The sequence below is a fragment of the Homo sapiens genome, chromosome 14 (assembly GCF_000001405.40).
Source record: "Homo sapiens chromosome 14, GRCh38.p14 Primary Assembly".
Classification (NCBI taxonomy): Eukaryota; Metazoa; Chordata; class Mammalia; order Primates; family Hominidae; genus Homo; species Homo sapiens.
In genome coordinates this window covers 103,194,984-103,217,365 of record NC_000014.9, presented here as the reverse complement: position 1 = coordinate 103,217,365, position 22,382 = coordinate 103,194,984, and the positions used below count along the sequence as shown (strand labels likewise).

The following is a 22,382-nucleotide window of genomic DNA, read 5'->3' as shown; positions in this document are numbered from 1 at the left end:
GCTGGTGGTCATTTCTGCAGACTGTCTACCACAAACCTCAACGTTTACACCTGTAAGCCTTTGGAGCTTTCAAAAGTGCAGCGCAGGCCAGTCGCAGTGGCTCACACCTATAATCCCAGCATTTTGGGAGGCTGAGGCTGGAGAATCACTTGAGGCCAGGAGTTCGAGACCAGCTTGGCTAAGACAGCAAGACTCCCACCTTTACAAAAACTAAAAAAAAAAAAAAAAATTACCCAGGCACGGTAGTGAGCACCTGTAGTCCCATCTACTCAGGAGGCTGAGGTGGGAGGACCGCCTGAGCCCAGGAGCTTGAGGCTTCAGCGAGCTGTGATTGCACCTTTGCACTGCAACCTGGGTGAAGGCCTCCCCTCTCCTGCATGGTGGTGTCACCTTACACCTCCAGTGACGACCTTCTTCAGTGCCAGAAGGGGTGTGTGAGGGGAAAAAAGCTGATTTTCTCACCTCTCCCTGTAGTCCTGCCTTCCCAAGTGGCCCTGGAGGCTCCAGGCCTGCTGCTGTCGGAGAGGGGAGGGGGTGGGGGGTGGAGACACATCCACGCCTCAATAGTGAATCTTTGTCCCAAAGCTGTCCCCTGCCCTGCTGTTCTCTGACAGGGCATTGGGCTGTCAGGGAAAAGGCTGGGGATTCCCATGGGACCGGCAGTGTCCCGGGCTCCCTTGCTGGCCTGGGTCTCGGCCTCTCAGTATGTCAGACCTCGACTGGGGAAAATGCACCAACTCCCTGCGTGAGCTATTCCTCCACAGCCCGCCTCCTCCCACACCCACCCCTGGACCCACCTGTGCTCACGGGACCCAGGCCCACCTCCCCTAGCCCCCGAACCCCGTCCCGTTTCCCTGAAGTCACAGATCCTGATCTTTCTCCATGTGAGCCCACTGGACTCAGCTGACCCTTCCACATTTCTCCCAGATGCACTCTGTCCCTCTAGGGTCACTGCCTCAGAAGCTGAGCATTTCTAGACAAGTCAGGTGAAGGGACTGTCATGGCTGCCACTTTACCCCATAGATGTGTGAGTGTACATATGTGTGTATATATATGTCTGTATCCTTTGCATGCAGTCCCCCCACATTGCCTACAGTCCCCTCTGGAGTTGGGACCGGCTTAACGAATTGATTCTGGAAGTTATGCTCAGAGGCTAGGCCCAGAACCGACTCCTCCAACCCTTCCGGTAGCTTTGTAAGTCCCGGTTACATCTGGTAAATCGGCCCTGCTTAAATTCCCTGCAGGGGTTCTGCCTCCTGCACCCCGACTGCCACAGCATTGGCTTCCAGAAAGAAGCGGCCTCAGCACCAGGCAGCAGGCTGGGGCCGGGCCAGCACCTGCAGCTACAGACCTCCAGGTTGAACAAGATCAATTCACCGCTCATCACAGGGAGGGAGAGCACCCACCACAGGGAGCCACAGGGTGTCTCAGTAAAAAGGTGTTAGAAAGGGCTTAGATTTGGTCAAAATGACAGTGAGATATCATCTCACCCCAGTTAAAATGGCTTCTATTCAAAAGACAGGCAATAACGAATGCTGGCGAGGATGGGGAGAAAAGGGAATCCTCGTACACCGTGGGTGGGAACGTAAATTAGTACAGCCACTATGGAGAACAGTTCGGAGGTTCCCCAAAAAACTAAAAATGGAGCTACCATATGATACAGCAGTCCCACGGCTGGGTATATACCCAAAAGCAAGGAGTCAGTGTATCAAAGAGATGTCTGCACGCCCACGTTTACTGCAGCACTGTTCACAATAGCCAAGATTTGGAGGCAACCTAAGCGTCCATCAGCAGATGAATGGATCAAGAAAATGTGGTGCATGTACACAATGGAGCACGATTCAGGCACAGAAAAGAATGAGATCCTGTCATTTGCAACAACATGAGGGAACCGCAGGCACCTTGGGGGGCCCACAAACAAAGGATAAATGCTGAGGTGACGGGCACCCTACTTACCTGATATTATTATACAGTGTATGCCCGTATCAAAAGATCCCATATGCCCCATAAATACATACACCTACTATGTACCCACAAAAATTAAAAAAATAAAGGGCTTCGCTTTGGGCTTGCATGAAGTGAAGGAAGCTCGAGGAAACAGGGATTGCACTGGATTAGATGCTTAGGAAGCAGGAGGTTACATGATTGACTATCATAATATATCTTTTTTTATTTTTATTTTTTTGAGACGGAGTTTCACTCTTGTCGCCCAGGCTGGAGTGCAATGGTGTGATCTCAGCTCACTGCAACCTCTGCCCCCTGGGTTCAAGAGATTCTCCTGCCTCAGCCTCCTGAGTAGCTGGGATTACAGGCATGCACCACCACATCTGGCTAATTTTTGTATTTTTAGTAGAAATGGCGGGGTATCACCACATTGGCCAGGCTGGTCTCAAACTCCTGACCTCAGACGATCTGCCCGTCTCGGCCTCCCAAAGTGCTGGGATTACAAGTGTGAGCCACTGCACCCGGCCTATCATAATAAATCTTATCTGGAAGGAAGGCAGACTAGAGAGAAGCTGAAGTTGTCATTGGTAAAGAAGCAGTCATCACTCCTGTTGGCCAAGGTTCGATGATTTGACGTGGTTTGGACAGTGTTGGTATTTCCATCTATGTTTCGACATGACTGCAGAATGCTCTTATTTTATCTTCATCCGTCATAGTCACAGAGTGGCCATGTCTGATGTTGACGTTCTGTGAAATTATTTATGTTCAGCAGGAGAACACCGTGGCCTAAATGTAGATGCCAGGCCAGCTCCCAGATGTCAGCGGCAGCAAGAAGCTATCTCTGCAGGCTGGGAGGCTGGTGAGCCCTGCACTGCCACAGGAAAACATGTGACCAAACTCTTGTCTTCAGCGGCTTTGACGGTAGACCATGTAGCGAATGCAGTTGTCAAAATGCACTGATAGACAGCGTCTCCCCCTCCCCACTCTGCACTGTCTCCTCTCCTACAACCCAAACTGATGTCCACACAGGGAGGTCTTTATGACCAGTTGATTGAGGGGGGAAAATCTCATCCTGGCTTAGAGATGGTCCAGAAGTAGGTGGCTACAGCACTCCAGTCCCACTCAGGGTGGCCCTAAAGAAGAGTGGTGGCCAGGTGCAGTGGCGCATGCCTGTAATCCCAGCACTTTGTGAGGCCGAGGCAGGCAGATCACCTGAGGTCAGGAGTTCGAAACCAGCCTGGCCAACAAGGTGAAACCCCGTCTCTACTAAAAATACAAAAATTAGCTAGGCATAGTGGCATGTGCCTATAGTCCCAACTACTCGGGAGGCTGAGGCAGGAGAATCACTTGAACCCGGGAGGCAGAGGTTGCAGTGAGCTGAGACTGCACCACTGTACTCCAGCCTGGGCAACAGAGCGAGACTCTGTCTCAAAAAAAAAAAAAAAAAAAAAAAGAACAGTGGTAAAGGAGAGTCCTCTCAGTTGTCATGTCATTACTTCATGTGCCGCATTTGTTTGTTATACTTTGCCTGGACTGGAAGATGGCCAGAAGTATGGCTCTATACTGGCTTATGGACTAGTATAGAGGCTAATGGTTTGGCTAGATCATCAGAGACTTGGAAGAAATCAGGTTGGGAGATTGGTATTGAGGTGGTCTGGGAAAGGACGGACCTCTCTGGATAGGCAGACTTTGAGGGTACCTTGTCACATGTGAATGCTCATCCAAAAGCATCTTCTAGAGGGGGCTGTCAATAATCAGGTGGGCAAGACAGTCTTTTCTGTGCATTGCAGTCAGCCTCTTTCCCCAGCCATCAGAATGGTTGCTCAATGGGCCTGTGTACAGAGTGACCAAGGAGGCAGGGAAGAGGCTGTGCATGGCCTCAGCATGGACTTTGCCTCACAAGTCCGACCTGGTTATCTTCACTGTTGAATATTTAACCAATAACAGAGACCCTGATATATGGCATCATTTCCTGGGAGAATAATTAGCCACTTGGTGGAAACTTGATTACATTAGATCCCTTCCATCACGGAAGGAAAAGCAATTTGTCCTCACTGGAATTTATTCTGGATATAGATTTGCTGTCTCTACGTGTAATGCTTTTGCCAGCACCACCATCCACAGAATTATAGAATGCCCTGTGGACCTTCATCATATCCCATAAAACATTTCTTTGATCAAGGAATTGATTTCATTGCAAAAGAGGTGAAGCATTAGGCTCATGGCCATGGAATTCAATGATCCTGCTTTTTGTTCAATCACCCAAGAGCAGCTGGCCTGATAGAATGGTTGGATGGGCTACCAAAGACTTATCTTAGCACCAGTTGGGAGATACCACCCTGAATGGATAGGCCCCCATCTTACGGTTTTGATATAATCTTTATTCAGTGATTAATATATGGTGGTGTTTTTCCCACAGCCAGAATATAGGAGTTTGGGAGTTAAGGGGTGATAGAGGGGAATTGGTTTGTTTCACTATTATACTTAGTGACTCAGTACGTTGTTTGAGGCACCTCCTGGTACTCCCATTCCAACAGTAAAAGGTTATCACAAACAACGCCAACAAAAAAATGGCAGAACCCTACTGAAAGTTCAGATCTTTCATGAATGAACATTTGGGTCATACTACTAGATGAAGAACCCCAACCAACCAGGGCCTGGCTGAGGGCAAAGAAAACATGGAATGAAAGAAGAAAAATCTAAAAATCAAATACTAGCAAACAATTCAACGGCCCATTCAAAGGATCATACATCATGACCAAGTGGGATTATTCCTGAAATGCAAGAATGGTTCGACATAAGAAAATCAACCAATATAATGCCCCACATTACCTGAATGAAGGGAAAAGAAACATGATCATCTCAATTGATGCAGAAAAATGCATTTGAAAAAAAATCATACCCTTTCATGATAAAAACATTTAACAAGATAGGACTAGAATGCAACTACCTCAACATAATGGAGTCCATATACGAAAAGTCCATAGTTAACAATCATACTCAATGGTGAAAGACAAAGTTTTTCTTCTAAGCTTAGGATCAGGACAAAGATCCTCAGTCATTCTTGCCACTTGTGTTCAACATATATTGAAAATAATAACCACAGCAATTAGTCAAGAAAAAGAAATAAAAAGTGTCCACATCAGAAAGGAAGGAGTAAAATTATCTCTGTTCACAGATGACATGATCTTATATGTACAAAACCCTAAAGACGCTACCAAAAAATCCTGTTAGAACTAATAAATCCAGAAAAGTTGCAGAATACAAAAATCAACACACAAAAATCAGATTTTTTTTTTTTTTGAGATGGAGTCTCGCTCTGTCACCCAGGCTGGAGTGCAGTGGGGCAATCTCAGCTCACTGCAACCTCTGTCTCCTGGGTTCAAGCAATTCTCCTGCCTCAGCCTCTGGAGTAGCTGGGATTACAGGCGTCCACCACCACACCTGGCTAATTTTTGTATTTTTAGTAGAGATGGGGTTTCACCATGTTGGCCAGCCTGGTCTCAAACTCCTGACCTCAGGTGATCCACCCACCTCGGCCTCCCAAAGTGCTGGGATTACAGGCGTGAGCCACCGTGCCCAGCTGATCAGTTGCATTTCTATACACTAACAATGAACAACCTGAAAAGGAAATTAAGAAAACAATTCTATTTACAATAGCATTGAATATAATAAAATACCTAAGAATAAACTTAACCAAGAGGCAAAAGACTTGTACACTGGAAATTATGAAACATTGCTGAAAGAAACTAAGGAAGACACAAATAAATGAAAGACATCTCATGTTCATGGATTGAAATGCTTAATATTGTTAAGATGTCAATACTACCCAAAGCAATCTACAGATTCAAGGCAATTCTTATCAAAGAGCCCAATGGCAGTTTTTGCAGAAATAGAAAATCCATCCTAGAATTCATATGGACTCTCAAGGGACCTCGAGTAGCCAAAGTAACCTTGAAAAAGAACAATGTGGCCGGGTGCGGTGGCTCACACCTGTAATCCCAGCACTTTGGGAGGCTGAAGCGGGCGGATCACCTGAAGTCAGGAGTTCAAGACCAGCCTGGCCAACATGGCGAAACCCCATCTGTACTAAAAAATACAAAAATTAGCTGGGCGTGGTGGCGGATGCCTGTAATCCCAGCTACTCGGGAGACCGAGGCAGGGAGAATTGCTTGAACCCGGGAGGCAGAGGTTGCAGTGAGCCGAGCTCGTGCCATTGCACTCCAGCCTGGACGACAGAGCCAGGCTCCATCTCAAAAAAAAAAAAAAAGATTAAGATGGTAAGTTTTATGTTATGTGTGCTTATACTACACAATTTAATAATCAACTATGGGCCGGGCACGGTGGCTCACGCCTGTAATTCCAGCACTTTGGGAGGCTGAGGAGGGTGGAACACCAGGTCAGGAGATCGAGACCATCCTGGCTAACACAGTGAAACCCTGTCTCTACTAAAAATACAAAAAAATTAGCCGGGCATGGTGGTGGGCGCCTGTAGTCCCAGCTACTGGGGAGGCTGAGGCAGGAGAATGGCGTGAACCTGGGAGGCGGAGCTTGCAGTGAGCTGAGATGGTGCCACTGCACTCCAGCCTGGGTGACAGAACGAGATTCCGTCTCAAAAAAAAAAAAAAAAAAAAAAATCAACTATGGGCCGGGTGTGGTGGCTCATGCCTGTAATCCCAGCACTTTGGGAGGTCAAGGTAGGTAGATCACTTGAGGTCAGGAGGAGTTCAAGACCAGCCTGGCCAACATGGCAAAACCCCGTCTCTACTAAAAATACAAAAATTAGCCAGGCATGGTGACGCACGCCTGTAATCCCAGCTACTTGGGAGGCTGAGGCACCAGAATCGCTTGAACCCTGGAGGTGGAGATTGCAGGGAGTCGAGATCGCACCCTTCCAGCCTGGGTGACACAGCGAGACTCTGTCTCAAAAATAAATAAATAAATAAGTGATAAAAATCAACCATGGCCTCATGATCAGTTTCAGAGACAAGGACTGTAGCAGCCATGAGCAGTTTCTTCCTTGTTATGTGGATGTGTACACATAGAAACTATCTTCTTTCTCTCCTTTTCCCCCGTTATTTTATAGACGGGTTGTTAATGTGGTTCACAAAATTTTCAAAGCTGGCAAAAGGAGCATACATTTCACAGAAAAGGAAAACACATGTAATTTTAAACCCTCCCCATGAGTTCTCAGTATCAGCAGCAATCTGAATAATACAAATAGAAACCAAATACATTGGTCAGAAGTCTGTGGATAACTGGGAGAGGCAGAAGACTCACCCGTACTGTGGGTCATTAATGTCGCAGCCTCCTTGACTTTCATTCCTGGCCTGGCGTTCCTTGGTGGTGCTGAGCAGACAGAGCCCACAGCCAGGAGGAGAGAACAGCGGAGGGCTTGAGGTTTGCCCACCCGCAAGCTCACAAGTCAGCCTGCCCCTGCTCCACAGGTCCATCGGCTGTGAATGGGGCCTCCAGGTCCCCGAGCGCTCTGACAGGTGGTTGTATTCGATGCTGGCAAGTTCACTTTGGAGTTCTTGCAGCCTTCCTTGCCTCTGGAGGGACTGAGACAATGTGTGTGTGACATACAAAGTCTAGAAATTTGACACACAGGAAAAGCAGGACAATCCAGCATGTAGGGCTTTAATTTCATGTGTGCCTGTGTGCGTCCATGCTCACTCAGAAAGCAAGGTCACAGGAGCTGGCCATGTGGCTCTGGCCATCCCTGACATTGACTAGTCAGCCAGAAACCCACTGCACTCTAAGCTGAAAACTTGAATCTGAGTGGGAGTGTCTGAGTTCCTCCAGGGAATCTAAGGGCAGAAACGGCTATTTGGGAATGTTTTCTTGGATCGAGGCCTGATATCCAGAAGGACTGGGATCCAAGGACACAAAACCTCTCCAGAGGCCCTCCTCAGCACAAGCAGGTGGAGAGTCAGAAGGGCAGGACTGTTGGGGTGGGGGCTAAGGGAATTCCCAGCTTGCAGTCATGGGGGCCCAGCTCTCTGCTGTCGTGGTGGTGGGAACAGGAGGCTGTTTCTTCTCCCTGGGCTTTCTCTGCACAGCCCAATCCAGACAGTGAACAAACTTGTGTTTCTCCTCTGCTCCAGCAGGAGGAGGGGGCAGCTCTGGACAACGACAGCTGAGACCAGGAAGATGCTCCCCACCCATCACTGGCCCCTCCCCACATTTGATATGCCCCCTTAGAGAGATGAATAAGGGCTTTGCCAGGAGGGACCCCAGAAGACAGAGGTCAGGAGGGGAGTGAGTCAGCCGGGTTTCCAGCTTCAAAAGTAAGCATCCCAACCCCCAACCTGTCCTAGGAGGGAGAGGAAGAGATAAAACCCAGGGTACAGTCCCCGCCTAGCCCTCTTCGGAGGTGAACTTGCCATTAGGTTCTAAAATGTATTTTTTTCATGTTAAGGTAAAACTTGTTTTTCTAGTAAAACATCACATACAATATAAATAGAAATGACCAGAGCCTTCTCTAACCATCACTATATAAATAACATTCCGTTAACAAAATCAACTAGTTCAGATCACAGGCATAGTTGTGAGCTTTCTTCTTTATTTTTTTTAAGAAGGATGTTCAGATGGTTAAGTTGGGTTCCTAAATTTGAAAAATATGTTGCAGCTGGGGAGGTAAAATCATTAACTTGTGCAAATGACAAACAACTCATATCAAAGATACATTTTAAAAAGCATAAAACGATACTGTTAAACCAATTCGAGAAAAATTTGTTATTATGTGAAAAGTGTATGATCCAAAAGCATTCTCACATGCTTTACTTCTACGTCAGCACCTGAGTTACTGTTAAGCTATGCAGATATGCAGACAAAATATCTTTATCTGGCAAACAACAAGAAAGACACTGACTGCTGAAGCACTCTTGCAAACAACGCACCGGGAGATCGTGGTGCTTTTCCCCTCAGTTACTAACTTGTTTCCTGAAAAATAAGAAGCAAAGAGGCAGACTATGAAAACTTCAGGAATTATAGAATATTAAAAACTATAAGCTTCAGGGCCGGACAAGGTGGCTCACGCCTGTAATCCCAGCACTTTAGGAGGCTGAGGCGGGCGGATCACGAGGTCAGGAGTTTGAGACCAGCCTGACCAACATGATGAAACCCCAGCTGTACTTAAAATACAAAAATCAGCTGCGTCTGGTAGCAGGCGCCTGTAATCCCAGCTACTCGGGAGGCTGAGGCAGGAGAATCGCTTGAACCCGGGAGGCAGAGGTTGCAGTGAGCCGACACTGCGCCACTGCACTCCAGCCTGGGCGACAGAGTGAGACTCTGTCTCAATAAATAAATAAATAAATAAATAGGCACTGGGTAGAAATACTGAGCTCTGGAAATCAGGAAAAGGGATGGACATATTGAAAACCAACTGTGGCAAATTAGCCAATGAACCTTTCCGACAGCCTCGTGTGCTGGGCATTGGCGGGGAGGCACCTCGGGCGGGATCAGGGCCTCCGTCTCGCGCACCGCCAGCGTGAACACCTGGTCCATCCTCCGCTGGATCTTGGCCGTGACCCCCGGGAACGGGCAGGGCCCCTCGCGGGCCCGCGCCATCAGCACCTGGCGCTCGGAGTCCCGGTCGGCCTGGGTGCCCACCAGCACCAGCAGGACGGCCCCGGGTTCCCACAGCCCGCGCAGGCGCTCGCGCAGCGGCCTCACGGCCGGGAACGAGGCCTCGCTGCACACGCCCCGGAGCACCGCGAAGCCGTCGCCGTGGCGGATGTCCAGGTCCTGGAGCGTGACCAGGTGCTCGGCGTCCGCCGCGTCCACGATTTCCAGCAGCGCGGGCGCCGCGTTTGCCTCGATCTCCTCGCGGAGCCGCTCCTCCGCCCACGCCGCGCACTGCTCGGGGAGCGGCCGCACGCGAACTGCGTGTCCAGCGTGGTCCTGCCCACGTCACGCTCCCCAGCAGCACACCCCGGCAGCCCTGGCGGGGCGCGGGACCAGCCCGCAGTGTCCGGGACGCGGCGGGGAGGGGAGGAGAGGGAGGAAGGGGAGGGGAAGGAGGAAGGGGAAGGGGCCTGGGAGCGCAGGGAACGGCGTACCAGGACTGTCCGGGCAGGGGCAGGGAGGGGAGAGGAGGGAGGGGATGGGGGAGGGCAAGAGAGGAGAAAAGAGGAGGAGGGGAGGGGAGGAGAGACGAGGGGTCAGGGCGTGGCGGGGCTGGCGAGTCCTGTGGCGCGGGGGAGGGGCGGGCGTCTCCTGGACTTGCTTCCACCCGGCTTAATCCCGCCCGGGGCGGCTCCAACTCCACTGTCGCGCTGTTCTCGGACCAAACTGAGAGTGGGGCGGCTATTTCTCGGGGCCCAATGACGAGATGCAGATGAACTGAGGAGGAAGAGCGTTTTTATTTTCTGCAACTGGTTACAGGGAGAAAGGCCTGGAAATGATCACCGGACCAACTCAAAATTACAGTTTTCCAGAACTTACATACCTTCTAAGCGGTATGTCTACGTGTAAGTGTGCATGCATCTGAAGACATTAGTGATGAACTTACGGTCATCTGTGAGTCCTGAAGACCTTCCTCTGGAGCCTCAATAAGGTTACTGAATCTAAATGGGTCCAGATGCTGGGGGGATTACCTTTATCTTGTCTCCTGCTAAATCAGGAGGTTTGGGGAGTGCCTTCAGACCCTCAATAAACTTGTTTCTGGAGGCGTGGGGAGCTTCTTCAGACCCACAAAAAAACTCGTTTAACCCTAAAAGGGTCCTGATAAGAATTAATTTGTTATTTTGTCCTGCTTTAAGGCCCAGGGAAGGCCTAGGCAAAACTCTCGGTGGGCTCTTTGTTACTTTCCAGCCTTTGTATAAGGGCACTGGCTCTATCAGCTTTTAATGTTTAATCTAGCTACTCAGTCAGTGCTGGGACAGTTGTAATGGAGGCCTGCGTTAGTGAGACCTGGCCTGCCACACTGCCACCGAGACAGGGATCCCGGGAGTCTAGGCCTGGCACGCTCCAAGTCCCTTACCTCCTGCACTCCTCTTGTCTGGGCCCTGCCTTTGCTCCTGGGGGTCCTGGTGCCGGGTCAGCCCCGCCAGCTCCTGGTCCCAGGCCTGGCTCAAGGGTGGCCCAGGGAACTGCCAGGCCTGCTTGGCCTGTCACCCATACTGGGCCTGACCACCAGCTGGGTCCCTAGATCAGGCTGTGGCTCTGCTCCCCCTTCCAAAGGGAGCCCTTTCTGTCTTTGGACCAGAAGGTAACCTGATCTCTTCTTGGCCAACCTGAGAAATGCTGGAATTTCTCCATTTCAGATCCAGCCTCCAGGCCTTGCTCAAGGTCAGGCTTGGCTGGGTTGCTGGGGCCTCTCCAGGCAGGGAGGCCCCCAGGCTCAAGGGCAGGTGAAGGGGACACCTGCCAGGGAACTTCAGACTGAGGTCCTAAGTGACGGGTACTCCCCTCCCTGTCCCCCTGGAGTCGCTCATACCCAGGCCTTCACTCTAGCTCCCTCCAGCCCCCGGGGCACTTTATAAAATGTAAATCACCCATCCCTCCTCCACTTAAGCCCTCTCTACTTGATAAAGTCATGACTTCACACCATGGCCTAAGAGCAGAGTGATGACAAAACTCACCATCCAAACCTGGTCACCTTCGGAAGTGAGAGAGTGCCCATTCACGTGACAGTGGGCATGAACCTGGGAAGCCGGGCAAAGCCAGCTTGGGGCCACCCTACTTAAAAAGAAGGTCCTCAGGTTCTGGCCTCCCCACCCCCTTCCTCCCATGGGCCTTCATCTTTCTCACTTCACAGATTTTTTTTTTTTTTTTTTTTTGGACAGGGCCTTGCTGTGTCACCCAGGCTGGAGTGCAGTGGTGTGATCATAGCTCACTGTGAGGCAGGAAATTAAGGAAAGAAAGAATAATAAAATTTTAAAAAGAGAAAAATAAGCTTTCTATATTAGGCTGACTCATCCCAAAGGCAGTAACAGACAAAGCCCAGACCCAGACGAAGTCTTGATAACATCATCAAAGAAGCAGAGGCTCAAAGGAGTGTGCTCTGGAGACTCTCCCAGCACTCCCTCAACATAAGGATAAGAAAAAGTTCCCCCTCGAACCCCAACCCCCTCCATGTGATTGTACCTTGCTCTGCAAGTTTTATGAATTTATAGATTCTTGTTTTCTGTAACTAGAAACTTCAAGTATTCTGTTTTATCTAAGCAGCACAGTGAAGGTTATACAACATGCCTGAGCAGGCCTGGGCTGCGGCCTTCTGGGCCCCATAGCGAAGGTTATGAGATAAGCCTGTGCAAGGCTCTTTTAAGCAAGCCTAGATAACAGCCATCTGGACTGCATAGCAAGAATTACATGTAACCCTGGGTTATGCACCTGTCACAATTTGATTAACTGCCTATGTTCTGTCTCTGTATCCTTGCTTTCATGCCACTGTAAGCTTGTTTCAAACTAGCCCACTCCCGTTCAAAGGTGTGTATATGAGTCAAGTGCTGTCTTTGTTCTGGGCCCAGTTTTTGGATGTTAATCCACTGGGTCTGAGTGCACTCAATAAAATTCTCATGTCCCACCTACCTGTCTCTCCAGTCTCCTGATTCCCACAACAACCGCAGCCTGTAGCTGGGACTACAGCTACATTCTTTAAATTTTGTAGAGATGGGGTCTTGCTATGTTGCTCATGCTGGTCTCCTACTTCTAGCCTCAAGTGATACTCCCACCTCAGCCTTCCAAAGTGCTGTGATTACAGGCGTGAGCCACCATGCTGGGGCACTTCACCCAGCCTTCTTGCTAGTTCTTGATTTCAAGGGTGAAGGGGCAGGTTGTGGGACAGTGGGGGCTGGGCCACAAGTTCTGGGGTTGTCTTCCAGAGTGAACTCTGCCACCCTCTGCCTGGTGCTGAATCAGATGCCTCAGGACTTCAGGGGACCTCCCTGCCTGAGCTGAGAGTGGGGCTGTCACACTTTCCCTCTCCCTGTGCATGGGGTATCACTGAACTTTCCTCAGTCCAACACAACTCTCAAGGGGCAGGGCCCCAATACTAGCTGAGCTTGAACTTCCTGCCTCCCCAAAGAGTGGTGCTTGTGGCTGTTGCAGAATGTACTTTTCTATAAATAATGCATAGAACATCCTCAATATGGAATCTCGATTATACTGTCAGCTGAAGGATGATGAAGAAAGGACAGCCTTATTTCTCATAAAGTGTTGCATCCTGCAGGGTGGCAATCCAATAGGCTGGGAAGCACAGCCTCCAGGTGGAAGCCAGAAACAAACACTTCGAGGGAGGGGCAAAGGGAACAGAAATATATGCTGAGCTGGGTGACTGAATATACATATTGAATAAGCTACAGGAGGAGCTGTGAATATTCACGAAAGGAGAAACATGCACATGCCAAGTTGAGCTTCATGTCCCTTCATAAGTCTGTTGCATGTACAAAAAATGGCAGTGTTGGCCTGATCTGAGAGTGGAGTTTTCAGCTACCTGATGACAAAAGACGAAGCAGAGGACACAATAACCCTCCCTGCGCATCCTTTGTAGACTGGCCACAAGCACTCTGAGGTTGGTGGTCTCTTATCAGGAAGGAATGCTGATCGGTTGTTTTGTCAGAACTGTGAAAGGGAGGGCCAGTGTCAGGGCCGGTTGGAACCACAGTGGTTTTTGTTCAGCCCTCAGGGAAGAAACCCTCAAGGCAGTTAGAGAGGGAGAGGGCAGAACCAGGCGTGTCTGACCTCCCATCCTGTCATGGCCTGGCACTCAAGGTTTCTCTGGGGTCCCCTTGACCAGGATGGGGAGGTCTGTTCAGTTGCTTGGGGCTTAGGATATCATTTTTATTTCTCAGTATATTGGACATAACAGACAACTTGATTTCTAAAAAGAGAAATAAGATTTATTTCTCAGACTGCAAGGTAACAAAACTAGAAATCAATATTTATTTATTTATTTAGAGACAGAGTCTCACTGTGTCACCCAGGCTGGAGTGCAGTGGCACAATCTTGGCTCACTGCAACCTCTGCCTCCTGAGTTCAAGCGATTCTCCTGCCTCAGCCTCTTGAATAACTGGGATTATAGGCATGTGCCACCACACTGGCTAAATTTTGTATTTTTAGTAGAGACAGGGTTTCACCATGTTGGCCAGACTGGTCTCGAACTCCTGAGCTCAAGTGATATACTCGCTTCAGCCTCCCAAAGTGCTGGGATTACAGGCATGAGCCACTGTGCCTGGCCCAATTTTTTAAATGATACAAAAAGTAGCTGGATGCAGTGGCACATACCTGTAGTCCCAGCTACTTGGGAGGCTGAGGTGGTGATATAGGAGTTAAGAACAAATCACTTAGGCAGATAGGGTATGGGAGTCCCCCATTAGGCTTTTCTTTTTAATGAAAAGCAGCCCCAAATCATTTTCTAAAAAAGAGCAGCCCATAAAGTTGAGCTCCAGACATGGACAGGCAAGCTGGGAGCTTGCACGGGTGAATGCAGGCAGGAACTAGGGGATAGACATGTTCAAGATGGCAGCTCCATCTTCCCTTGCCTGCCAGCCATGTGTACAGTAAGGAACAGACAAGATGGCATCGGCAAAGGGGAAAGTTCATTTGCATAATAAGATTAGGGTGGGGCGACCAGCCTTTCCCAAAGGCTGTGTAAATGTCCCACCTGATCAGACCAATCTGTGAGCCATATGTAAATCAGACACCACCTCCTCAAACTGGACTATAAAATCTGGCGCATCTGCCATCAGCTGGTCTTTCTGCTTGGAAGACCCCTCTCTCTCAATAGAGCTGCTTTTCTTTCTCTTTTCTGCCTGTTAAACCTCGTTCCTAAACTCCTTGGGTGTGTCCATGTCCTAAATTTTCCTGGCATGAGACAACGAACCCTGGGTTTATACCCCAGCTGCTTCAGTGGGAGGATTCCTTGTTCCCTGGAGGTCAAGGATGCAGTGAGCGGAGATTGCACCACTGCACTCCCGCCTGGGCAACAAGAGTGAGACTCCATCTCAAAAAAAGAAGAAAACGAAAAATTAGCTGAGCATAGTAGCCTGTGACTGTAGTCCCAACTACTCACTTGGGAGGCTGAGGTAGGAGAGTCACCTGAGCCCGGTAGATGGAGGTTGAAGTGAACTGAGATGGCACTACTGCACTCCAGCCTGGGCCACAGAGTGAGACTCTGTCTCAAAAACAAAAATACATAAAAAGTAAAAATAAATAATTAAAACACCTATTGATAGGTGTCATGCTGTGATACCATAAGAAATCTATACTTGAGGCTTAATCCACCCAGGGGTCCTTGCTCAGGAGGGGTCTCAGAGCTGGCGTTTTGGGAGGCCCAGGTACACTGAGCCTGCCCACTGTGAAGACCACTCAGAGCACATTTTTCCAAGACGTCAGCATTCCCAGCAGTCACCAGATGAGGGATGTTCCCAGGAACATCCACATCATCTGACTTTCCCCTGCACTGGCCACGTTTCCAAGCTTCCCTCCTCCGTAGTCCTGTAGAGTACAAACAGCCCCATGTGGGCGGTAGCCTGCTCTCCTCCTGCAAACTTCGGCATCTTTTAGGCCTCATTCCCCTCCCCACAGCCCCCAGGTGGCCTGAATCCCACCTTCCTCTCCAAGAATTGATAGCTTCTACCTTCTCCACCACCCATGTGCCCTCCCAGCACAATAGGGGACACCCTGCAGAAAGCCATGGTAGTGATATATGGTTAAAAAGAAATTATTTAGGCAAATAGTAAGGATAAAGAAGTTCTCAGTAAGGTTTTCCTTTTAATGAAAAGAAGCCCCCAAATCATTTTCTTTTGTAACAAGGGGCAGCCTGTAAAATCGAGCTGCAGACATAGACAAGCAAGCTGGAAGCTTGCACGGGTGAATGCCAGCAGTTGTGCCGATAGGAAAAGGCTACCTGGAACTAGGCATGATCAAAATGTTGGCTGTATCTTCCCTTCTCTTTGCCAGCCAGGTGTACAGTAAGAAGCAGGCAAGATGGTGTTGGCCAAGTGGAAAGCCCATTTGCATAATAAGATTAGGGTGGGGAGACCAGCCTTCCCCACATGCTATGTAAATGTCACACCTGGTTGAACCAATCTGTGGGCCCTTCGTGAATCATACACTGCTCCTCAAGCTGGACTATAAAATCTGCTGCTGTCCCTGCAGGCCAGCTTTTCCCTTTTGGAGCCCCCTCTCTCTTGCAAGAGAGAGAGAGAGCTGCTCTCCTTTCTCTTTCTTTTGCCGATTAAACCTCTGCTCCTAAGCTCACTCCTCATGTATGTCCATGTCCTTAATCTTCTTGGCGTGAGACAATGAACCCTGGGTATTTACTCCAGACAGCGATGCCACTTCATCAGGGGGATAGTGGGGAGGGGGGATTTCCTGAAGATTGAGCTGGAAGGTTTTACAGAAGAATTAGGTGGGGTGGGGGAGCAGTAAACTTCCTGAGCCACCGAAGTCAGGGGTTTCTCTTCAGTCAAGTTTTTTCTCTTTTTAATATATAACTATAATATATAAAAATAACTAGTTGACCCTCTATATCCATGGGTTCCACATTTGTGGATTCAACCAATCAAGGATGGAAAATATTTGAAAAACCTCTAGCCTGGCCAACATAGCAACTCCATCTATACAAATAATTTAAAAATTAGCTGGGTGTGGTGGCGCATGTCTGTAGTCCCAGCTACTCAGGAGGCTGACACGGGAGGATTGCTTGAGTCCAAGTGTTCCAGGCTACAGTAAGCTGTGATCACACCACTGCACTTCAGCCTGGGCCACAGAGAGACACCCTGTCTCCAAAAAAAAAAGAAAAGAAAAGATAAAGTACGTAGAAAAAAATTGTGCTGAACATGTACAGAGATTTTTTTCCTTGTCATTATTCCCTAAACAATATAACAAGTATTTCCATAGCATTTACAATGTATTAGGTACCATAAGTAATCTAGAGGTTATTTAAAGTGTACAGGAGGGGCTGGGCGTGGTGGCTCACGCCTGTAATCCCAGCACTTTGGGAGGCTGAGGTGGGTGGATCACTTGAGGTCAGGAGTTCGAGACCAGCCTGGCCAACATGGTGAAACCCTGTCTCTACTAAAAATACAAAAATTAGCCAGGCCTGGTGGTGCATGCCTGTAATCCTAGCTACTCGGGAGGCTGAAGTAGCTTGAAGAGTCGCTTGAACCCAGGAGGCGGAGGCTGCAGTGAGCCGAGATTGCGCCACTGCACTCCAGCCTGGGTAACAGAGTGAGACTCTGTGTCGAAAAATAAAATAAAGCATACAGGAGGATGTATATAGGTTATATGCAAATATTGAAACCGCCTTTGCAAAATTATGACTGAGCCAATGAAAGAGGTCCAACTTAAAGGACTCCATCTTGCCTCCAACCTCCAAGCTATCCTTATTCATTCCTGGGTGTAGGCTGAACTAACTTTGGGAGAAACTTAGTTCATAGTTTATAGTTTAAAACAAAGATAACAGCCTCCCAGGCTCAAGTGAGTCTCGTGCCTCAGGCTCCCAAGTAGCTGGGATTACAGGCATGCACCACTGTGCCCAGCTAAGTTTTTTTTTTTGTATTTTTAGTAGAGTTTCACTGTGGGTTTCACTGTGTTGCCCAGGCTGGTCTCAAACTCCTGGCCTCAAGTGATCCACCCGCCTCAGCCTCCCAAATTACTGGGATTACAGGCATGAGCCACTGTGCCCAGCCTATACTGATAAATTTAATTTGCCTAAAGTTTTTCTTTTTAAATTTAATTTACCTAAAGTTTTTCTTTTCTTTTCTTTTCTTTTTTGAGTCAGAGTCTCACTCTGTCAACCAGGCTGGAGTGCAATGGCACAATCTTTGGCTCACTGCAACCTCCGCCTCCTGGGTTCAAGCAATTCTCCTGCCTCAGCCTCCCAAGTAGCTGGGATTACAGGCACCCGCAACCATGCCCGGTTAATTTTTGTATTTTTAGTAGAGACAGGGTTTCACCATATTGGCCAGGCTGGTCTCTTGGCCAGGTTGAACTCCTGACCTTGTGATCCGCCAGCCTCAGCCTCCCAAAATGCTGGGATTACAGGCATGAGCCACCACGCCCGGCCTAAAGTTTTTCTTTTACCAGACGTGAGCATCTGTGGATTTTGGTAACTATGGGAGGTTCTGCAACCAATGGTTTACAGATACCGAGGGAGGAGTGTATAAATACTTCCCAGAAAAGAAATCACATATTTGGTCTTCATTCTGGCTCCTGACCCAAGAGCATCTAAAACCCTTGGAATTTCCTGAATGATAGGGATGAGAAGAGCATCTTTTGATATTCACGTAAACTAAATGTAAAATCCCAAGCCCCTCAACTGACTGAACAGACCTCTTCTTGGCCAAGGAGACCCCAGAGAAACTAAAAACTGAGTTTCCTGCCAGGAGGGGACGGACCTCCTTCAAACCTCTCCCTTTTGCAGTTTAGATAGAACCGACTAGTGCTAATGTTAAAACAGAGATCATAAGATTCGAAGAGCAGACTGTTTGTGCAATAACAGACCAAATTACAAACAGGACCGAAGGTCTTGCAAAACAAGGATGAGGTCACTCCTGCAGGCCATCAATCTTGCTAACTAGGTCATTTTTGACCTGGTATACGGTGGCTGACTCTGACACAGCATCCTCATCTTACCTTAAACATTCCTTTCTGCTAACTCTGTTTTTAGACAAAGTTTTGTTCCTTCAGCCAACTGCAAATTAAAGAATCTCCGAATGCTCCTGTGCCTTATAACATCCCCACCCTGACACCGCTTGAAAATATCCTGCCTTTCCAGGCTGTGCCAACCTATACCTTCCATGTGTTGATTTATGTCTTCGCCGGTAACTCCTGCCTCCCTGAAATGTGTTAAACCAAACTGTAATCCGACTACCTTGGGACAGTTACTCAAAGCTTCCTGGGTTTGTGTTTGCTCCTGGCTGTGGTCACTCATATTGGCTCAGAATAAATCCCTGCAAAACATTCTACAGAGTTTAGTTTTTACATTAACATTTATAACACGCCCCTTTCAGCCATAGCTGAATTTCTGTTAACAAGAGGACTGGTGGCTGAAGCCCCTAGGTAGCTGCAGGCTGGGGGCTGCAGAGGAGGCCCCCATGTGATTGGAGGGCTGGAACCTTCAGTCCTACCTGACCTCCAGGGAGAGGAGAGGGCTGGGGTTGAGTTAAGTACTGATGGTCAGTAAGTTAATCATGCCCATGTACATAATGGAAACTCCATGAAAACCCTAAACGGAGGGGTTTGGAGAGCACATCCACGTGTCAGGAGGGCGGTGCACCTGACTCCCTGGGGACAGAAGCCCCTGCCATAGGGACCTGCAGACCTCACCCTATGTACTTCTTCATCTGACTGTCCAGTTGCAGCCTTCTAATGAACTGGTCAATGTAAGTGTACCCCTGAGTTTTGTGAGCCCTACAGCAAATTACTGAACCTGGGGAGGGGCCGTGGGAACCCTTGATTTATAGCCAGTTGGTCAGAGTATGGGAGGACCAATGGTGGTAGGTGTCTGTAACCCCAGCTATGCGGGAGGCTGAGGCAGGGGAATCGCTTGAACCCGGGAGGCCAAGGTTGCAGTGAGCCAAGATCGTGCCACTGCACTCCAGCCTGGGTGACAGAGCAAGACTCAGTTTTAAAAAACAAACAAACAAACAAATGAGAGGCTGAGACGTGCACTTGGCTTCTGAACTGGGGGTGGTCTGGTGGGACTGAGCCGTTAATCTGTAGGGTCTGGGTTACCTCCCAGGAGTTCATGTCCAAATTGAATTGCAGGTCACCCAGTTGGCGTGCGGAGAGTTGGATGATCGGTTGGTGTGGGACATCCCCCCCCTCATTTAGTGTCAGAAATGTGAGAAATAGTTTGTCTTTAATAGATTAGACAGTACATTAAACATGGCTGAAGAGAGAGATGAAATGAACATTATTCAGAGTCGTGAATACTCCTGGGCCTGGTTTTCATCATAAACCACCCTGTACCCGCAGAGCTAAGAGCTCTTCATGCTGCCCCGAAGGCTTCGGACTCTCATAGAGTGTCTTACATTGATAGTTGGCTCACTTGAGCCTGTTATTATTATTATTTTGAGGCCTTTAAAACCATTAAGTGGGCCAACCCCACAGTTCTTCTGACTATTGCTTCAGTGCTTTTAAAGTACTCCCCTCACCCCCGCCCCGGCTGGGTGTGGAGGCTCACGCCTGTAATCCCAGCACTTTGGGAGGCCGAGGCAAGCAGATCACTTGAGGTCAGGAGTTCCAGACCAGCCTGGCCAAAATGGTGAAACCCCATCTCTGCTAAAAAATTAGCTGGGCGTGGCGGTGGGTGCCTGTACTCCCAGCTACTCGGGAGGCTGAGACAGGAGAATCGCTTGAATCTGGGAGGCGGAGGTTGCAGTGAGCCGAGATCGTGCCACTGCTCTCCAGCCTGGGCGACAAGAGTGAGACTCTGTCATAAATAAATAATAAAATAAAATAAAAAGCACCCCTCTACCACATGGACCCAGGCCTCACTTCCCAACGTGCATATCGTCATCCGCCCTGGGAGCCGTGGCAGCTGTCCTGCAGGCCGAGGCTCAGCACCTGCTCACTCCCCCCAGCAACAGGGTCCTGACAGTGGGGCTGCAGGGTGTGTGCTCTCCTGCCCTGAGGTTCTGCCTTTTAGGGCCACTTCTGTACTCTCTAAATTCGGATCCCCTCCACAAGCAGAATCTATGATGTGGGCCATAGGCTGGTGTGCAAGTAGTTTAGTTTTGGAAGTGGTTTAGGGGTCAGGAATGGGGGCCTCTTGTTCAAATGTCACTTACTTAAAGGGGGCTTCCCTTACCAACTGTTGTAGGTAGAACCATATCCCCTCAAAATTCATACGTTGAGTTCCCAGCCCTCAGTACCTCGGAATGTGACCTTATTTGGAAACAGGGTCATTGCAGATGTCATTAGTTAAGATGAGGTCATACTGGAGTTGTTGGGCCCCTCATCCACTATAACTGGCGTCCTTGTAAAACAGGGAATTTGGACAACGACATGCACGCAGGGAGAACAGCACATGAAGACGGAGGCAGGGATGGCAGAGACGTGTCCACCAGCCAGGAGCCAGACACTGCCAGCGGATCACACGCAGCTGGGAGGGGCCCGGACCGGATCTTTCCTCCCAACTCCCAGAAGGAACCACCCCTACTGATACCTGGATCTCAGACATCTGGCCTTCAGAACTGGGAGATAATCATTTCTGTTGAAGCCACCAAGGCTGTGGCACTTTGTAAACGCCTGCCCCAGGAAGCAAATACATAGACCTACAAAAAAAAAAAAAAAAAAAAAAATGCTACCACAAAGCCATCCCTTGCTGTCCTGCCTTGTTCCTTTTTCCTTTACAGCACTTCTCATCACCTGAAATGAGATTATTGATTTGTTGATTGCTTCCCCCATTGCCAGGTAACTCCTACGAGGGTGGGGCTGCACATGGCTCGCTGCTGCGTCTGCAGCGTCTAGCACAGCGCCTATCACATGGTGGGTATTACATGACTGCAATTCTATTACAGTGCTTGCTTTGAAATGTAAACTCGGCTGGGTGCGGTGGCTCATACCTGTAATCCCAGCACTTTGTGAGGCCGAGGCGGGTGGATCACGAGGTCATGAATTTGAGACCAGCCTGACCAACACGGTGAAACCTCATCTCTATTAAAAATATAAACATTAGCCAGTGTGGTGGTGTGCGCCTGTAGTCCCAGCTATTTGGGAGGCTGAGGCAGAAGAATCACTTGAACCCCAGAGGTGGAGGTTGCAGTGAGCTGAGATCATGCCACTGTACTCCAGCCTGGGTGACAGAATGAGATTCCATCTCAAAAAAAAAAAAAAAGAAAAAAAGAAAATGTCAATTCGTTCCAATGCATTTGGACAATTAGGGAACAATTTGAGCACAACATGAATTTTGCAATTGCTTATGTGTGATTGTCTGTAGGAAACACCAGGTGAACACCAGAAACACCCCCAGTGGAACTGAGGTGCACAGGAATGCACACAGTGCATGTGCACACACCTCAGAATCCGCCAGTGGCCTCAGTTTCCCGCTGGGTTGTGAGCCATACCCATTGAGCATTAGTCCAGTTTCACACTGCTATAAAGAACTACATAAGACTGTGTACTTTATAAAGAAAAGAGGTCTAATTGACTCACAGTTCCAAATGGCTGGGAAGGACTTGGGAAACTTACAATCATGCAGGAAGGTGAAGGGGAAGCAAGGCATGTCTTACATGGTGGCAGGAGAGAGACAGTGGGGTGGGACAGAGTCTCTTTCTGTAGCCCAGGCTGGAGTGCAGTGGCACGATCTTGGCTTACTGCAACCTCTGCCTCTGGGGTCCCGGTTCAAGCAATTCTCCTGCCTCAGCCTCCCGAGTAGCTGGGACTATAGGCGCACACCACCACACCCAGCTAATTTTTGTATTTTTAGTAGAGACGGGGTTTCACCATATTGGCCAGACTGGTCTCAAACTCCTGACCTC

General features: G+C 48.9%; 1 protein-coding gene across 2 annotated transcripts; it reads left to right on the top strand.

Moving 5' to 3' along the window:
• Nucleotides 1-8,495: 8,495 nt before the first annotated feature.
• Nucleotides 8,496-21,171, top strand: LOC124903391 (uncharacterized). 2 transcript variants are annotated; one of them, XM_047432044.1, is made up of 2 exons: nucleotides 8,496-10,418; nucleotides 20,891-21,171. In XM_047432044.1, the coding sequence occupies exon 1, from the start codon at nucleotides 9,349-9,351 to the stop codon at nucleotides 10,273-10,275; it is 927 nt and encodes a 308-aa protein (XP_047288000.1). In that variant the 5' UTR covers nucleotides 8,496-9,348; the 3' UTR covers nucleotides 10,276-10,418; nucleotides 20,891-21,171. The 2 variants fall into 2 exon arrangements, with proteins under 2 accessions (XP_047288000.1, XP_047287999.1); XM_047432043.1 differs by lacking the exon at nucleotides 20,891-21,171 and adding an exon at nucleotides 11,736-12,479 and having other exon boundaries at nucleotides 8,496-10,504.
• Nucleotides 21,172-22,382: the final 1,211 nt, after the last annotated feature.